Source organism: Homo sapiens, chromosome 18, assembly GCF_000001405.40.
Source record: "Homo sapiens chromosome 18, GRCh38.p14 Primary Assembly".
NCBI lineage: Eukaryota > Metazoa > Chordata > Mammalia > Primates > Hominidae > Homo > Homo sapiens.
This window is the reverse complement of record NC_000018.10, coordinates 73,240,653-73,254,614: the sequence shown is the minus strand read 5'-3', so window position 1 is coordinate 73,254,614 and position 13,962 is coordinate 73,240,653. Positions and strand designations below refer to the sequence as shown.

The window sequence follows — 13,962 nt, the reverse complement described above, 5'->3', positions numbered from 1 at the left end:
AAACCTCCTTTCTTATAAATTATCCAGCCTCGGGTATTCCTTTATAGCAACACCAAATGGACTAAAGCATGTGAATATTTTTGCATGCTTATCTTGCTTATCCTACTCATTTTGGGCTTTTCTTTTCTTGAAATTTTCTGCATAGACAAACATGTCATCTGCAAATAGGGATATTTTATTTCTTACGTTTTCCTCGGTATTTTCTTAAACTTTCTTTTCAGACATTTTTGTTCTGGCTATAACCTCCAGTATTAAGTTGAATTAGAGTATTAAATAAAAGCAGTAAGAAAAGATATTCATTTTTACTTTTTTCCTGCTCTTGACGGAAAACGTTTAGTCTTTCCTGATGAAGTGTGAAGTTAGTTAGCTGCAAGTTTTTTTTGTAGCTGTCCTTTACAAGTAAAACTTTACTATTTGTCGATGACATTTATCAATATTCCTTCATTCCTAGAATTGCCAAGAGTTTTTGTCTTCAATGAACGTTGAATTTTGTCAAGTAATTTTTCTGTGTCAATTGATATGATCTTGTAATTTTTCTGCGTCAATTGATATGATCTTGTAATTTTTCTTTTCTAAACTGTTAAAGGTAAATTATATTGGCTTTCAATTATTGAGCCAGCCTTGCAACACTGAAATAAACTACAGTTGCTCATGTGTAAAATTCTTTTATATATATTGATAAGTGCTATTTGTTAATATTTTATAATAACTTTTACATTTTTATTCACAAGGGATATTGTTCTGTAGTTTCTTTCTTTTTTTCATTTTATGTACTGTCCTTGGTTTTGGTATCAGGGTAATGCTGACTTAAATTTAGTAATGATAAAATGAATTAGGAAGTGTTCCCTCCTCTGATGTTTTTTGGAAGAAATTGTATAGAAGTGATGTTAATTTTTGTTTAAATGTTTGGTAAAATTCTCCAGTAAAATTATCAGCATCTGGATATTTTATTTTCAGAAAATTTTAAGATCATGAATTATATTTCCTGAATAGTTAAAGGATGTATTTCATATTGAGTGAGATGTGGTACTGGGTGCTTTTTGAGAAATTTTTCAATTTTAAAGAAATTTTTCAATTTTATCTATTCGTCAAATGTATGTGTGTAGACTTTTTCATAGATTTTCCTTATAATCATCTTGACATCTACAAGGTCTGTAGTGATTCCTCTGTTCCATTCTTATTATTGGTGACATCTCTTCCCTTTGTTTTCTTTTTTGTTAATCTTGATGTAAGTTTGTCAATTTTATTGATATTTTCAGGGAAATTGTTCTTTGGACCATTGATTTTATCTTTTGTTTTTCTATCTTTATTTCAATTGATTTCTGGTGTTTTATGATTTTCTTTTTTCTCTGCTTTAGGTTTATATTGTTCTTTCTTTTCTAGGTTTCTGCAACAAGATTTTAGATTATTAATTTATGTCTACATATTTTTAAATAAACTTTTTAATGAATTTTTATATTTACAGAAATATTGCAAAGGCAGGACAGAGAATGTCTACTCCAAGTTTCTCTTATTATTAACATCTTACAATATTAAAGCATATTTTTCACCATTAATAAACCAGTATTCATACATTATTATCAACTAAGGTTCCTTCGAATTTCTTCAGCTCTAATTGTCCTTTTTCTGTTCTAGCACTTGATCCAAGATACTGCATTGTATTTACGTGGCAGGTCTCCTTAGACTTCTCTTGGTGGTGGTAGTTTGTCAGACTTTCCTTATTTTAATAATCATGACAACTTCCAGAGATTAGGAAAAGTATCCCTACTAATGTGTTTTAGAATGTTCCCCAATGGGGGTCTGTCTTATGTTTTTCTCATGATTAAACTATATTAACGTGTTTTTGAGAGGAAGACAGAAGTGGAATGCCATTCTGTTCACATCATATGAAGGGCGTTTGTTATAAAATGACTTAACCCTGTCAACACTAACCTTATTTACTTGGCCTGAGGTAGTGTTTCTCAGGTTTCCGCACAGGAATATTACTGTGCTCTTCTTCGTTTCCAGAGTGCACTCCTTGGAAGGAAGTCACTATAGATATCCCACGCATGTGGAGAGGGGAGCTATGATCCACCTCATGAAGGGCAAGGTAGCTATATGAATTTGGATTTATTTTGCACAGAAGATTTGCCTATTCTTCCATATCTGTTTACTTTATTCAATTTTTTTATATCTTCACGGATTCATGTTATTTCACTTAATACTTTGGGTTATAATCCAATGCTATTTTATTTATGTTGCTGCTCAAATTGTTCTACCTTTGGTTATTGGATGCTTTTTCAGTTAACTCTTGTATTCTTTGACATAATTCCCATAGTGTGTGTGTGTGTGTGTGTGTGTGTGTTGAGCACTTTCTTACTGTTACAGCAAAATGGTCCAGGTTCCTCTTGTATATTTTCTTAACAAGTTTTAAAATCATTCACTTCTCCAACATGCTATGGCTCTTTTTATTGGTAAAGATCTCAGTTTGAGGTTTATTTACTGCTGCTAGGATGTTATTCACTGATATGAGGATGTTATTCACTGCTACTCCCAGGCTTTCTCAGTTTAAAGATCAAGGGGATATATATGTGTACACTAACTCATGTTAATATCTACACATGTCTGTAAATATTTCTGTTAGCATCTGTATTTCTATTAAGCTGAATATGTGTTTATTATGATGTATACAAATTTAGTCCATTTCTATTTGCTGTGTATCCTTGTCAGTAATTGGTAATGGCAGTTATTGGATTTTAGCCATTCTAGTAGGTGCATATAGGTACCTCATTGCTTTATTTTGCAACTGCATAGTGAAAAGGACAGGGAACATCTTTTCATATGCTCATTTTCTATCTGTATATCTTATTTGGTGAAATGTCTGTTCACAGATTTGGCCAGTTTTATAATTGGTTTGTTTGATGTCTTATTGTTGAGATTGAAACATTCTTTGTAAATTTTAGATACAAATTTTTTACATATATGTGTTGTGAAAACATTTTCTCTAAGCTTGTAGTTAATCGTTATATTCAGTTAACAGTATCTTTTTCAAAGCATAAATTATTATTTTATAATTAGCTTAAAATTATAACAAAGTTATAATATTAGCTTATTCTTTCTTTCTTGGATTGAGCTATTGTTTTCATATATAAAAATCATTACTGAACCCAGATATTATATATTTGTCCTGTTTTATTTAAGAAAATTTACACTTTTGTACTTTACATTTAGACCTATATTTTATTTTTCATCCATTCTGACAATCTCTGTCTTTTCTTTTCACTTTTAAAGCAATTATCAATATATTTGGGTTAATATTACCCATATTTGTTTCTGCTTTCTACCTTTAACAGATGCTTATTTTCTGCCATCTTGGGATTTGACAGATTTTATGATTTCCTCTGGTCTTCCATCTTCACGCATCAATTCTACTTCTTTTGCACATTTTTGTAGTCATTTCCCTACAGTCCATATTCTACATTTTGACCGGATCTATGTCCACCTTTAAATAGACGATTCCTCTTTATAAGCAGTGCAGTGCCTTATAAGAGAGTATTCCCTATTTCTCCTTCCCACAACCCTAGTGGCATTACTGCCATTCATTTCACTTATCCATACACTATACATATTCATTCAGTGGATTTGTGGTATTATCACTTTAAACAGTTATTTTTTAGATCAATTAAGAATAACAAAAATAAAAGATTCTGTTATACCATTTTTTATTCATTCTCCAACATCCTTCCTTTAGATAGATTCCCACTTCCAACCTACATAATTTTTCTTCCCTCAAACAAAATCATTTTTTGAAGGACAGGTCTGCTGGTATTTTTATTCCTATGTTTTGTCTATTCAAGCAAGATTTTGTTTTTTTTTTTACTTTTGAAAGATAATTTCATTGGATATAGAGTTTTGATTGGTGCTTTTCTTCTTTTAACAGTTTAAACATTTCATTCCATCATCGTGTTCCTGGTTTCTATGAGAACTCCACTGTCATTCTTATTCTTGTTCCTCTAAATGTGAGGTATTTTTTTCTCCTTGGGCTTCTTTCAAAATTTTTCTCATTGACTCTGGTTCGCTTATGACATGCCTAGGTGTAGTCCATTTTGAGTATTATGTAATGAGACACCAGATCTTATTTCAACCTTCTGTTTTGGCTGGATTTCCTCTGAAACTGCTCTGGCAGCAAAGGAGGAAGGGTTACTCCCAGCTAGGGTTATAATTCCAGGTCCCTCACCTGGCCGCTGGGGAAGAGGCTCCGCATTACTGCGTGACAGAGATGCAAGTTCTGAATCACCTCTAGGCCTCCACTGAGACGCTCCATCTGGGATGACTGGAATTTTGGTTTCTTCTCACCACCTCCACTGAGACGCTCCATCTGGGATGACTGGAATTTTGGTTTCTTCTCACCACCTCCACTGAGACGCTGCATCTGGGATGACTAGGAATTTTGGTTTCTGCTCACCACCTCCACTGAGACGCTCCATCTGGGATGACTAGGAATTTTGGTTTCTGCTCACCACCTCCACTGAGACGCTGCATCTGGGATGACTAGGAATTTTGGTTTCTGCTCACCACCTCCACTGAGACGCTCCATCTGGGATGACTAGGAATTTTGGTTTCTGCTCACCACCTCCACTGAGACGCTCCATCTGGGATGACTAGGAATTTTGGTTTCTGCTCCCCACCTCTACTGAGATGCTCCATCTAGGATGACTAGGAATTTCTGGTTTCTGCTCACCACCTCCGCTGAGACGCTCCATCTGGGATGACTAGGAATTTTGGTTTCTGCTCACCACCTCCACTGAGACGCTCCATCTGGGATGACTAGGAATTTTGGTTTCTGCTCACCACCTCCACTGAGACGCTCCATCTGGGATGACTAGGAATTTTGGTTTCTGCTCACCACCTCTACTGAGATGCTCCATCTAGGATGACTAGGAATTTCTGGTTTCTGCTCACCACCTCCGCTGAGACGCTCCATCTGGGATGACTAGGAATTTTGGTTTCTGCTCACCACCTCCACTGAGACGCTCCATCTGGGATGACTAGGAATTTTGGTTTCTGCTCACCACCTCCACTGAGACGCTCCATCTGGGATGACTAGGAATTTTGGTTTCTGCTCACCACCTGGCCTCCTTTGACACACCCAGCGGGGAGGCAGGGTGGGCTCCTCATTACTGCTAAGTGGGGGAAGAAGTTTAGGCTTTCCCCCGTGGCAATGGAGACCTGTCTCCTTACGTGGCCCTCTCTGACACCAACCCATGGGAGTGAGACATGCCCTGTAAGGGGCTTTGGTGGCCGTGGAGGCAAGGAACAGTTTCTCTCACTGTGTTTGGCTGGAGTAGCGTGGGGTTGCCGAAAGTCTTCTGTCTGCGGAGGCTGTACCTTTGGCCCTTTGGCAAGAGAGCAGTCTTTGGTTAGGATTTCCAGGTTGCTGGCTTCTTTATCTCCATTTCTGGGATATATGTGCCAAATAAAACAAAATGAAACAAAAACCAGGGAACACACAGTCATATAGTTCTTTTAAAGCACTACATGGCCAAAGTTTTCAGCCAGTGTGCTTTCTTCTTTTCGTATTTCAGAGTCTCCTTATGTTTATTTTGTACACAATATCCTAGGTTTTACTAAATGGGAAGAATAAGAAGAAGTATGTCTACTATCTTTCTATTCTAACAATATTTTGTTATTATATAATAAAGTCCATTTTAATATTATTGAGAGGTATTTATTTAGAAAATGCTTTTTAATGATTTTAGGTAATCTTCACCTATTTCTATGTATTTTTATTCTTCTGCATGCTAACATTTCTCTTTTATGTGTGTTTTATCTATTTCCATGTGCCAGGTTATTTCCTAAACTGGCATTTTGTTATTAGAGCTAACATAGTCAATTTAGAGCCATGAGAGAAAAGATCTTTCTTTCTCTCTCAGTAGATCTTTTTACGGTCTGATAGGAAGATCGGGAGTTCAGAGGGCCTTCATTCAATTGTAAATCCTGCTGTTTATTCTCTAATCTTATTCTATGATTTTTAAAATGGCAGAGTTGAATGTTTATTCTGATAATGCCTGTTTTATGAGCCACACTGTAGCTTGGAAGCATCTGCATCCCCTATACTTTGTGACATGTTACATGGGTATTGCACGAGCAATCCAAGTATTAAGAGCAACCCAACCAAGATATTCCTATTGATGGCAAGCCACTGAATTTGAATGCAAACAATAAAAACACAGGTGATGAGCTGTCAAAAGTTATGCATTTTTGATCGATTACTGCATTAAAACACTATTGTATAAGACATAGCTCCAGACAGACAATCGCCTTGTGAGATTAATCTAGATTCACAGGTGAGTACTACTTTTTAAAAGTCAGCATTCTTTACATGCCAGAGTTGTCAGTCTTACAGTTTATTCAAGGATTATTGGCCACTCCACAGTCTGTTGCATGTATCCTGAAAAGCATATTGTCATCCACTTATGACTCCCTCTCATGTTAAATGGAGTAGCTGCACCTTTGAAAATGGTGCATTGATTACCTAATTTTCCTCTTCCCCCTAAAGCATCCAACATTTGTGTTTCATTTGTAGTGCTACTTTCCTTGCTCAGAAGTATGGACTTCATTTCATCCATTTCCTCAAGCCAATTGATGGGCTGAGTGATTGGCAGTGGATCTGATTGCCAGGTTTCATTCACCCATGAGCTGTACACACCTGTTCCTCTGCCGGTTCAATAATATTCTCAACACATACAACGCGACTCTGATGACAAAAGCTCCATAGCTTGATTGAATTCCTTAGTGCCTCTTTTCTATGCCTTTTTCTGAGATTCCCACTCTTATTAACCCTTTCAATTGTATACTTCCCTACATTTCTTCTTTAATGATTATTTCTTTGCACATGTTTAGAAAATTTGCATTACAAGACTAATATTTTACTATTTCCTTACATTTTGAATTCTCAACAAAAATCACCCAACTACCCCCTGACGTAATTCTTAGCAGACCAAAAATCCAAATAATTTTCATTCTAATGTCATATCTCATACACTTTGTAAGGAATCTATTTCTTTCAACCTCCCATTCTCAACACTTCACATTGTACAGTGCTCTCTGTTTAACGATTCAAAGCACTGAAAATGTTTTAATGATTTGTTTTCTTATTTTCCACATTATCTTTAATTCCATAAATGCCAAACTTGCCTGGGCCTTTTACAAACAAGCTAGGAATATTAAAGCCATAGATACACAATTTTACTTTAGGTTTAGTTACATTGTGATTTAAAAGTTCAAAATCTCAGTGGTTAAAACAGTAAGGCCTATTTCTTGCTCAAGCTGCAAATTCATAGTAGGTTGGCTGAAGTTCTCCTCCATCTTTTTCATTCTGGGGCCATCATTATCTACTTGTTTGTTCACTGATAAGCTTTTACTTTTCTCTCTTCTCTATAGAAAAAAAAAATACTCTCTCACTTTTTCTTCCCAAACCATGTAGCCATTTTTAACTATTCCATCATCAATTAGTTTCTAGCTAATATTCTCTGACCAAATCTAGTGACTTCCTTCCTCCTATCGTTTTAGCTACTTTTTATGTACAATCCTCCCTGATAATGTTCACATTATATTCTCTAGCTGTAATGTGTTTAAAAGCGTGCGTGTGTGTTTATGTGTGCGCATATATGTGCATATTCTCTAGATGCAAACAGAGGAGGAATTAATACAGAAACTTAGTTTGCTTTCTCTCAGCATCGAATATGGACTTTTGAATGAATTATCTACATGTGTCCTTTTGGAATCATTGATAGGAAAGCATTTGATCTCTTAGAGAAAATGAATAAGATGCAGTAATATATAGTTACCATTGTCAATGAGGCTCAGAAAAGTAAAATAAAATAAATACAGATGCTTTGAAATAATATAGGTACTACTGTACAACATGTTTACAAATTACTGACTACAACTATTGGATGTGTTTTAAGAGTATTTTTGTTCTTAATGTCTTGGTTGTGGCACTGAATATTTGTATTTTGAAAGTTTTATGTTCACAAAAAGCATGTTGCTCTGTTTCGTTGTTGAGCTGGGTTATAATTATGTTAACTCTTATGTTTACTCATTGGCTTTTAGCATTTCCTAACTTCAGTGATTAGATTAAATTATCCTACCCTAAACAAAGTTATAGTTTTTCATTTATATGAGTGATTATTTTATCATAGTTATCCCTTCTACTAAACTATGACAGCTCTAAGGGTAAAAGACATATGAATATTTGGCTATCATTGTATTCCCAGAGCCTAGCATAGAGTACCTTGTTGAAAAATATTTTTGATTTAACAAATCAATACAAAATATTTTTGTAGGTACTATTTTGTAGCTATCTATCTTGTAAGGAGCAGATGATATATATATCCATATGATCTAGATATGTTTACCCTCTAAGTGAAAGAATATTTCAAACAATTTAAACATTTAATGATATTTTATTTAAACTTTTCTCATTGTGTTCGTCTTGTGAGATTAAATTTGACTCCAATTAATTTTGACATTAATAAAAGGGCTAGCACATATATTTATACATATAGTCACTGTGATAAAAACTAAGACCTTTCAATTGCAAATGGTAGCAAATCAAGTTCAAACAGAATGGAGTTTACTGACGCATGACACCAGGAAGTACAGGGATAAGGTTGACTTAGTTAACAAATACACACAAAAGTACAAACAATGTGAATGTGAATATGATTAGAAATTTAATCTCTCTCTCTCTAATCTCTATCATTTATTCACTCTCTTTCTCAGAACTGGCTTCATTTTCAGATGGTTTCCTTTTAAAAGTTGGCCCGGGCAACTGCCATGTTAAATCTTTCTTATCCAGCAGTGAAAGGTCACTAAAGCATCTTTTTCTAAATAGCAGCTGCAAAATTCTCTGGTAAAACTCTCTTTGATCCATGATGTTGTGCCACATCCAGATCCCTGATTCCATCGCTGAAGTGATTGGGCTCAGCCTTGCGACCACAGGGTGAGAACAGCCTCATGTAAACAAGGACTCAGATGGGAGAAAAGTGGTTTCTGAAATGGTTGCTAAGGAAGCAAAACTGTGATTGCTGCAGTAGACAAGATAAGCGGGGGAGGGGTGGTCTCATTCCTGACCCCCAGGTGGGACACAACAACTTGTCTTTCATACCCTTAATGAGAGAACAATGCCTCGTGACTCATTTTACTTTTCTCAGAAGGTTTTTAGTTTAAAATATCTTTGTTTCTTTCTCAGCAGCAGAACTAAGATTCAGCTCACCTTTTACTTAAAATTCTCTGAATCCAAATACCAGGATGTAGTTTTCTATTAAGCACTCAATTGATTTGTAGCTTTTCTCTCCAGTTTTTTTTTTTTTTTTTTGGAGACGGAGTCTCACTCTGTCGCCCAGGCTGGAGTGCAGTGGCGTGATCTTGGCTCACTGCAAGCTCCGCCTCCCGGGTTCACGCCATTCTCCTGTCTCAGCCTCCCAAGTAGCTGGGACTACAGGCGCCTGCCACTACACCCGGATAAGTTTTTGTATTTTTAGTAGAGATGGGGTTTCACCGTGTTAGCCTGGATGGTCTCGATCTCCTGACTTCGTGATTCGCCCGCCTCGGCCTCCCAAAGTGCTGGGATTACAGGCGTGAGCCACCACGCCTGGCCAGTTTTTCTCTCTGGTTTTCTATGTACATATCCCTGAAGTATTTACTATGTGCATATCCTTTTCTTACCTGGAGTTTAAGTTGATATAATCTTAAACTATTGACTGGCTTTTATATCAAATAGCCATATTATACTCCCTCCTTCGTATAAAAACTACAGCATAACTTGAAACAAGTTATAATGTGTTTAAAGCTATTGCACTCATTACTCATTGATTTACCTTTGTTAATCAACTTATATATGTATTTAAAAAATCAAACATATTATGAAAACAAGTGTTGTCTTCTGGGGAAATAGAAAGACAGACATAAAGTCATCTTAGTTGTTCCAGGAACATGTGGTTTACTTGAGAGCATAGTCACTGGAGCATTGCCAATACATAGTACTGCAAGTCCAAGCCAGCGTGTGATCAGAAACACACAGATCACAAATCCCACAAGAGTTTTCAGAATTATGAAGGAGGCCTTTCTGGGATGTTTAGATGAGATTCTTAAAATGAATTATATTTTAGAAGGTAGTGGGAAGCAGGAGAGTTGTAAAACTTCTTCCTGTGATGGGTAACAATGTTCATTTTTAAATAATCTGTATTAGCGAAGCAGCGTTGTTGTCTGGGGTAAATACTCGAGATTTGTTGTCTTAAGGCCATGAACAACTAGGATGCAGACACACAGGGTGAGGTTCAGAGCGGAAGTTTAATAGGTGAAAGAAAGGAAAGAGCTGTCTCTGTTGCAGGGGGAAGGGTCCCTGAGAAATGGGTTGCCACTTTCTGGGTGAAATGCAGTGGATTTTATAGATGAGCTTGAGGATGTCGTATCTGATTTACATAGGGCACAAAAGATTGGTTGGACCAGGTGTGCTATTTGCATAGGGTGTGAAAAACTGGTTAGAGCTAGGTGTGCCATTTGCACAGGATTTGAATACCTGGCTGCCCCACCCTAAACTTTTATTTATTTTTATTTTTATTTTATTTTTTTGAGACTGAGTTTTGCTCTTGTTGCCCAGCCTGGAGTGCAATGGTGCGATCTCGGCTCACCACTACCTCCACCTCCTGGGTTTAAGCAATTCTCCTGCTTCAGCCTCCCGAGTAGCTGGGATTACAAGCATGTACCACCACGCCGGGCTAATTTTTTTGTATTTTTAGTAGGGACGGGGTTTCTCCATGTTGGTCAGGCTAGTCTTGAACTCCCAACCTGAGGTGATCCACCTGCCTTGGCCTACCAAAGTGCTGGGATTACAGGCCTAATCTTTTATTATACAGATGGGCTGTCTGCCTGGCCGGCGCCATGTTGCTTGGTTCTTTATTGCACACATGGTAACAAAGAAAACGGGAGATGGAGCCTCCATGTTGAACATGCCTGGTTTACAGGTGGCCCTTTCTATTGGCACATTTGCCAGCATTCCCCTGTGCAAGCTTTCCATTTCCTTATCTGTGTCTGAAGCTCGATTTTTCAGGCTGCTCTTTGTTAGAAAAGAAATGATTTGGGGGCTGCTTTTTATTAAAAGGGGAATTCTTCCAAGGACTCTTTTACCCTTACTCTGTGCCTAAGTAATTTCTTTCTATCTCCCATGTCAGTAGTATGTGTAGTAATAATGTTTACTTTCACATACTTGTTTGACAGAGATTATAGTTGGACTATAAACGATTTTCATAAGGAGTTGTATTTTCAGGTGTTGACAACAAGTCATAACTTAATTTGTCCATAGTTAGCTCTTTGATTTGTAAACTAATTAATGATACCATATTAACTTTGAAAACCAGGATTTTCTTTCAAAATTTACTGTAGAAATGTTGGATAAACCTCATACCATTTAGGATGTTAGAACCAGTGAGTCATAGCTAAAATTAAAATAATATAACTTACCATCCATTTAAGTGATTTGTATAATATTTATTTATTGGATAATACTTTTTTTTCCTAAAAATTGTTTTTAAAGATGTTTGTAACATACTACCTCATAAATTTTATGTGACTTAGCCCATTAATACTAAGGAATAAAATATTTAACTACATTGTTTCTGGACATGATATTACTGAATTTTCCTTTTAGAAGATAAATTCAGGAAACATGACTATAAATTAAGACAAAATATAAAAACTCTGTCATGAATGCTGTACAAATTATTCTCTTAAAATGCTGAAATATTTCCAGAGCCATCTGTAGCATGGACAAAACTTGAGAAGTAGGTTAGTGTGATCCTCACTTTTCCGTAGAATAAGGGTATTTTTATTCTCCCCGTTAACTTCCCATCTTGCCATAAAAGTCACCATCTTTAGATACCATGAGGACCTTAACATTCTGTTTGGCTTGACTTCTTAGACATATTTTTTCTTAACACTGTAGCCCTGACATCCTTTTACTTAGAGGATTTATTTTAGAATACTTGTAAGTTTAAATTATTTTTCTGCCCCTTTGAAATATAAGCATTTTTTGAAACCTCCTCCCTGTTTTCAGAGCCAGGCAATGTCTTTCACAGTGACCTTTGAGGTGTCTCTTAGACATGCAATCGTCGGCCAGGCACGGTGGCTCACACCTGTAATCCCAGCACTTCGGGAAGCTAAGGTGGGTGGATCACTTGAGGTCAGGAATTCAAGACCAGCCTGGCCAACATGGTGAAACCCCTCGTCTCTACTAAAAATACAAAAATTAGCTGGGCGTGGTTGTGCGGGCCTGTAATCTCAGCTACTCGAGAGGCTGAGGCAGGAGAATTGCTTGAACTCTTGAGGTGGAGGATACAGTGAGCCAAGATCGTGCCACTGCACTCTAGCCTGGGCAACAGAGTGAGACTCCATCTCAAAAACAAACACACAAAAAAGAAATGCAATCATCAGGGAAGATGGTGCCTCTGTCTTCCAGCATCTGTGGGAGGGTAGGTGCCTAACCTCTGTGGGCATCTTGCTCCAAGTTGAAAAATTTCCTCCTATGATGGAGATAAAGAAAATTTTACTTTTACTTTGGTGAGAGGCCAATTAGGAAACACAGATGACCTAAGATTTTCCCCACACCAGCTCTTAAAACTTTTCCCTCTTTTTCAAGAAGCTGAGCTCAGACTCAGTTCTGATTCCTCTTCCTTAGTGCAAGAGTCTGGAGTAAAGTTTTCCGTGCCTGTTTAAATTTTCCTGGTGCAACTTCTACTTTGATAATATTCACTCATTATATAGCTCTTCTCTGTCTCTTACCTTCTGCTTCTCTGTAGCCATCCACACATCTATTTGCGTTGATACCTACCTTCGGGCATATAGAATGGCAGTAATGAAAATAGTTGCCATCTATTAAAATACTTGGTCAATTGGGTCGTGTTAAAAGTCAGAGTGTGGCCTATAGTTTACATGTTCAAAGGGAATTTTTTTTCTTATTAGTGTTATCAAATAGTCTTTTTACAGATGGTAACTGAATTCTTCTTTAAAAGCTAATTTTAAGAGTATAAACTTTATACGCAGTCAATACATACATCATTAAGTATCCATGTGGGTCCTAAGATTGCTTTATTTACCTCCACATATGCCATGTTGATGTGATATTGTGAAAGGAGAATACATCTCAGGACCTCAAACTCACTAAGCCAAAGGGAAAAGTCAAGCTGGGAACTGGGCCCCACAAACCTGCCTTCCATTTGATTCCTAAATAAGATAGCTACAAAGATAAAAAGCTACATACCTCCCTCACAGTTCCCTCCCCCCGCCCCCACCCCCACACAAAATTCCTTGTGGGACCCAAGATCTTTCCCCTAAAACAGTTCTGTTGAATTTCACCCTGGCAATGTAAATCGATAGTGTATCTTTGTGGGTACAGGGCAAAGGAGAAAACTCAAAGTCATCCCTCTGCTCACCTGAGACAAATGCATATCTGTTAGCTTCCTGTGCCCTATTGTCTATGTTATCTTATGTAAAAATGCTGATTCACTGAGCCAGATGAAGGTGTAAGTAACTATTCCTCTAATACCTGTCACATGTAAATTGTGTATTCAGTGAAAGGCTGATCAAATACTCAAAAGAATGCAACCATTTTGTTTTTCTATCTACTAACACATTTTACAAATATTTCTCTTATTCCAATATCTGCCCTTTCCCCTTTCAATATCGAAGCCTTCAAAGTCATCTTTGGAGAAAGGCATAGACCTGTCTCTTGAGTGCACGTCCTTAACTTTGACAAATAAACCTTATGAAATGATTAAGACTTTCCTCAATCATTATTTTTAATTTAAAATGTAAACTGGATATTCATATAACTAGAATGTTTTATTTATTAACTTTTAGCTCAAATTTTAGAAATAATTTTAAACCAACAGTGAAGTACAATAGTAGTAGAGAAAACAACAG

General features: G+C 36.6%; 1 long non-coding RNA gene across 1 annotated transcript in view, besides 2 other annotated features; it reads left to right on the top strand.

Moving 5' to 3' along the window:
• LINC02864 (long intergenic non-protein coding RNA 2864) overlaps positions 1–13,962 on the top strand; it is a 110,441-nt gene that overhangs the window by 9,884 nt on the left and 86,595 nt on the right. The window lies entirely within an intron of this gene.
• Positions 4,016–5,215: an enhancer, noted in NCBI's record as "CDK7 strongly-dependent group 2 enhancer chr18:70916635-70917834 (GRCh37/hg19 assembly coordinates)". NCBI's record gives its function as "activates an origin of replication core promoter dependent on BRD2, BRD4, P300/CBP, MED14 and CDK7 cofactors, with strong dependence on CDK7, by STARR-seq in HCT116 cells {active_cell/tissue: HCT116}" and the evidence as "EXISTENCE:reporter gene assay evidence [ECO:0000049][PMID:35650434]".
• Positions 8,821–9,412: an enhancer, noted in NCBI's record as "OCT4-NANOG hESC enhancer chr18:70912438-70913029 (GRCh37/hg19 assembly coordinates)". NCBI's record gives its function as "activates a minimal SCP1, AML or CMV promoter by ChIP-STARR-seq in naive and primed H9 embryonic stem cells {active_cell/tissue: H9 hESC(naive and primed)}" and the evidence as "EXISTENCE:reporter gene assay evidence [ECO:0000049][PMID:30033119]".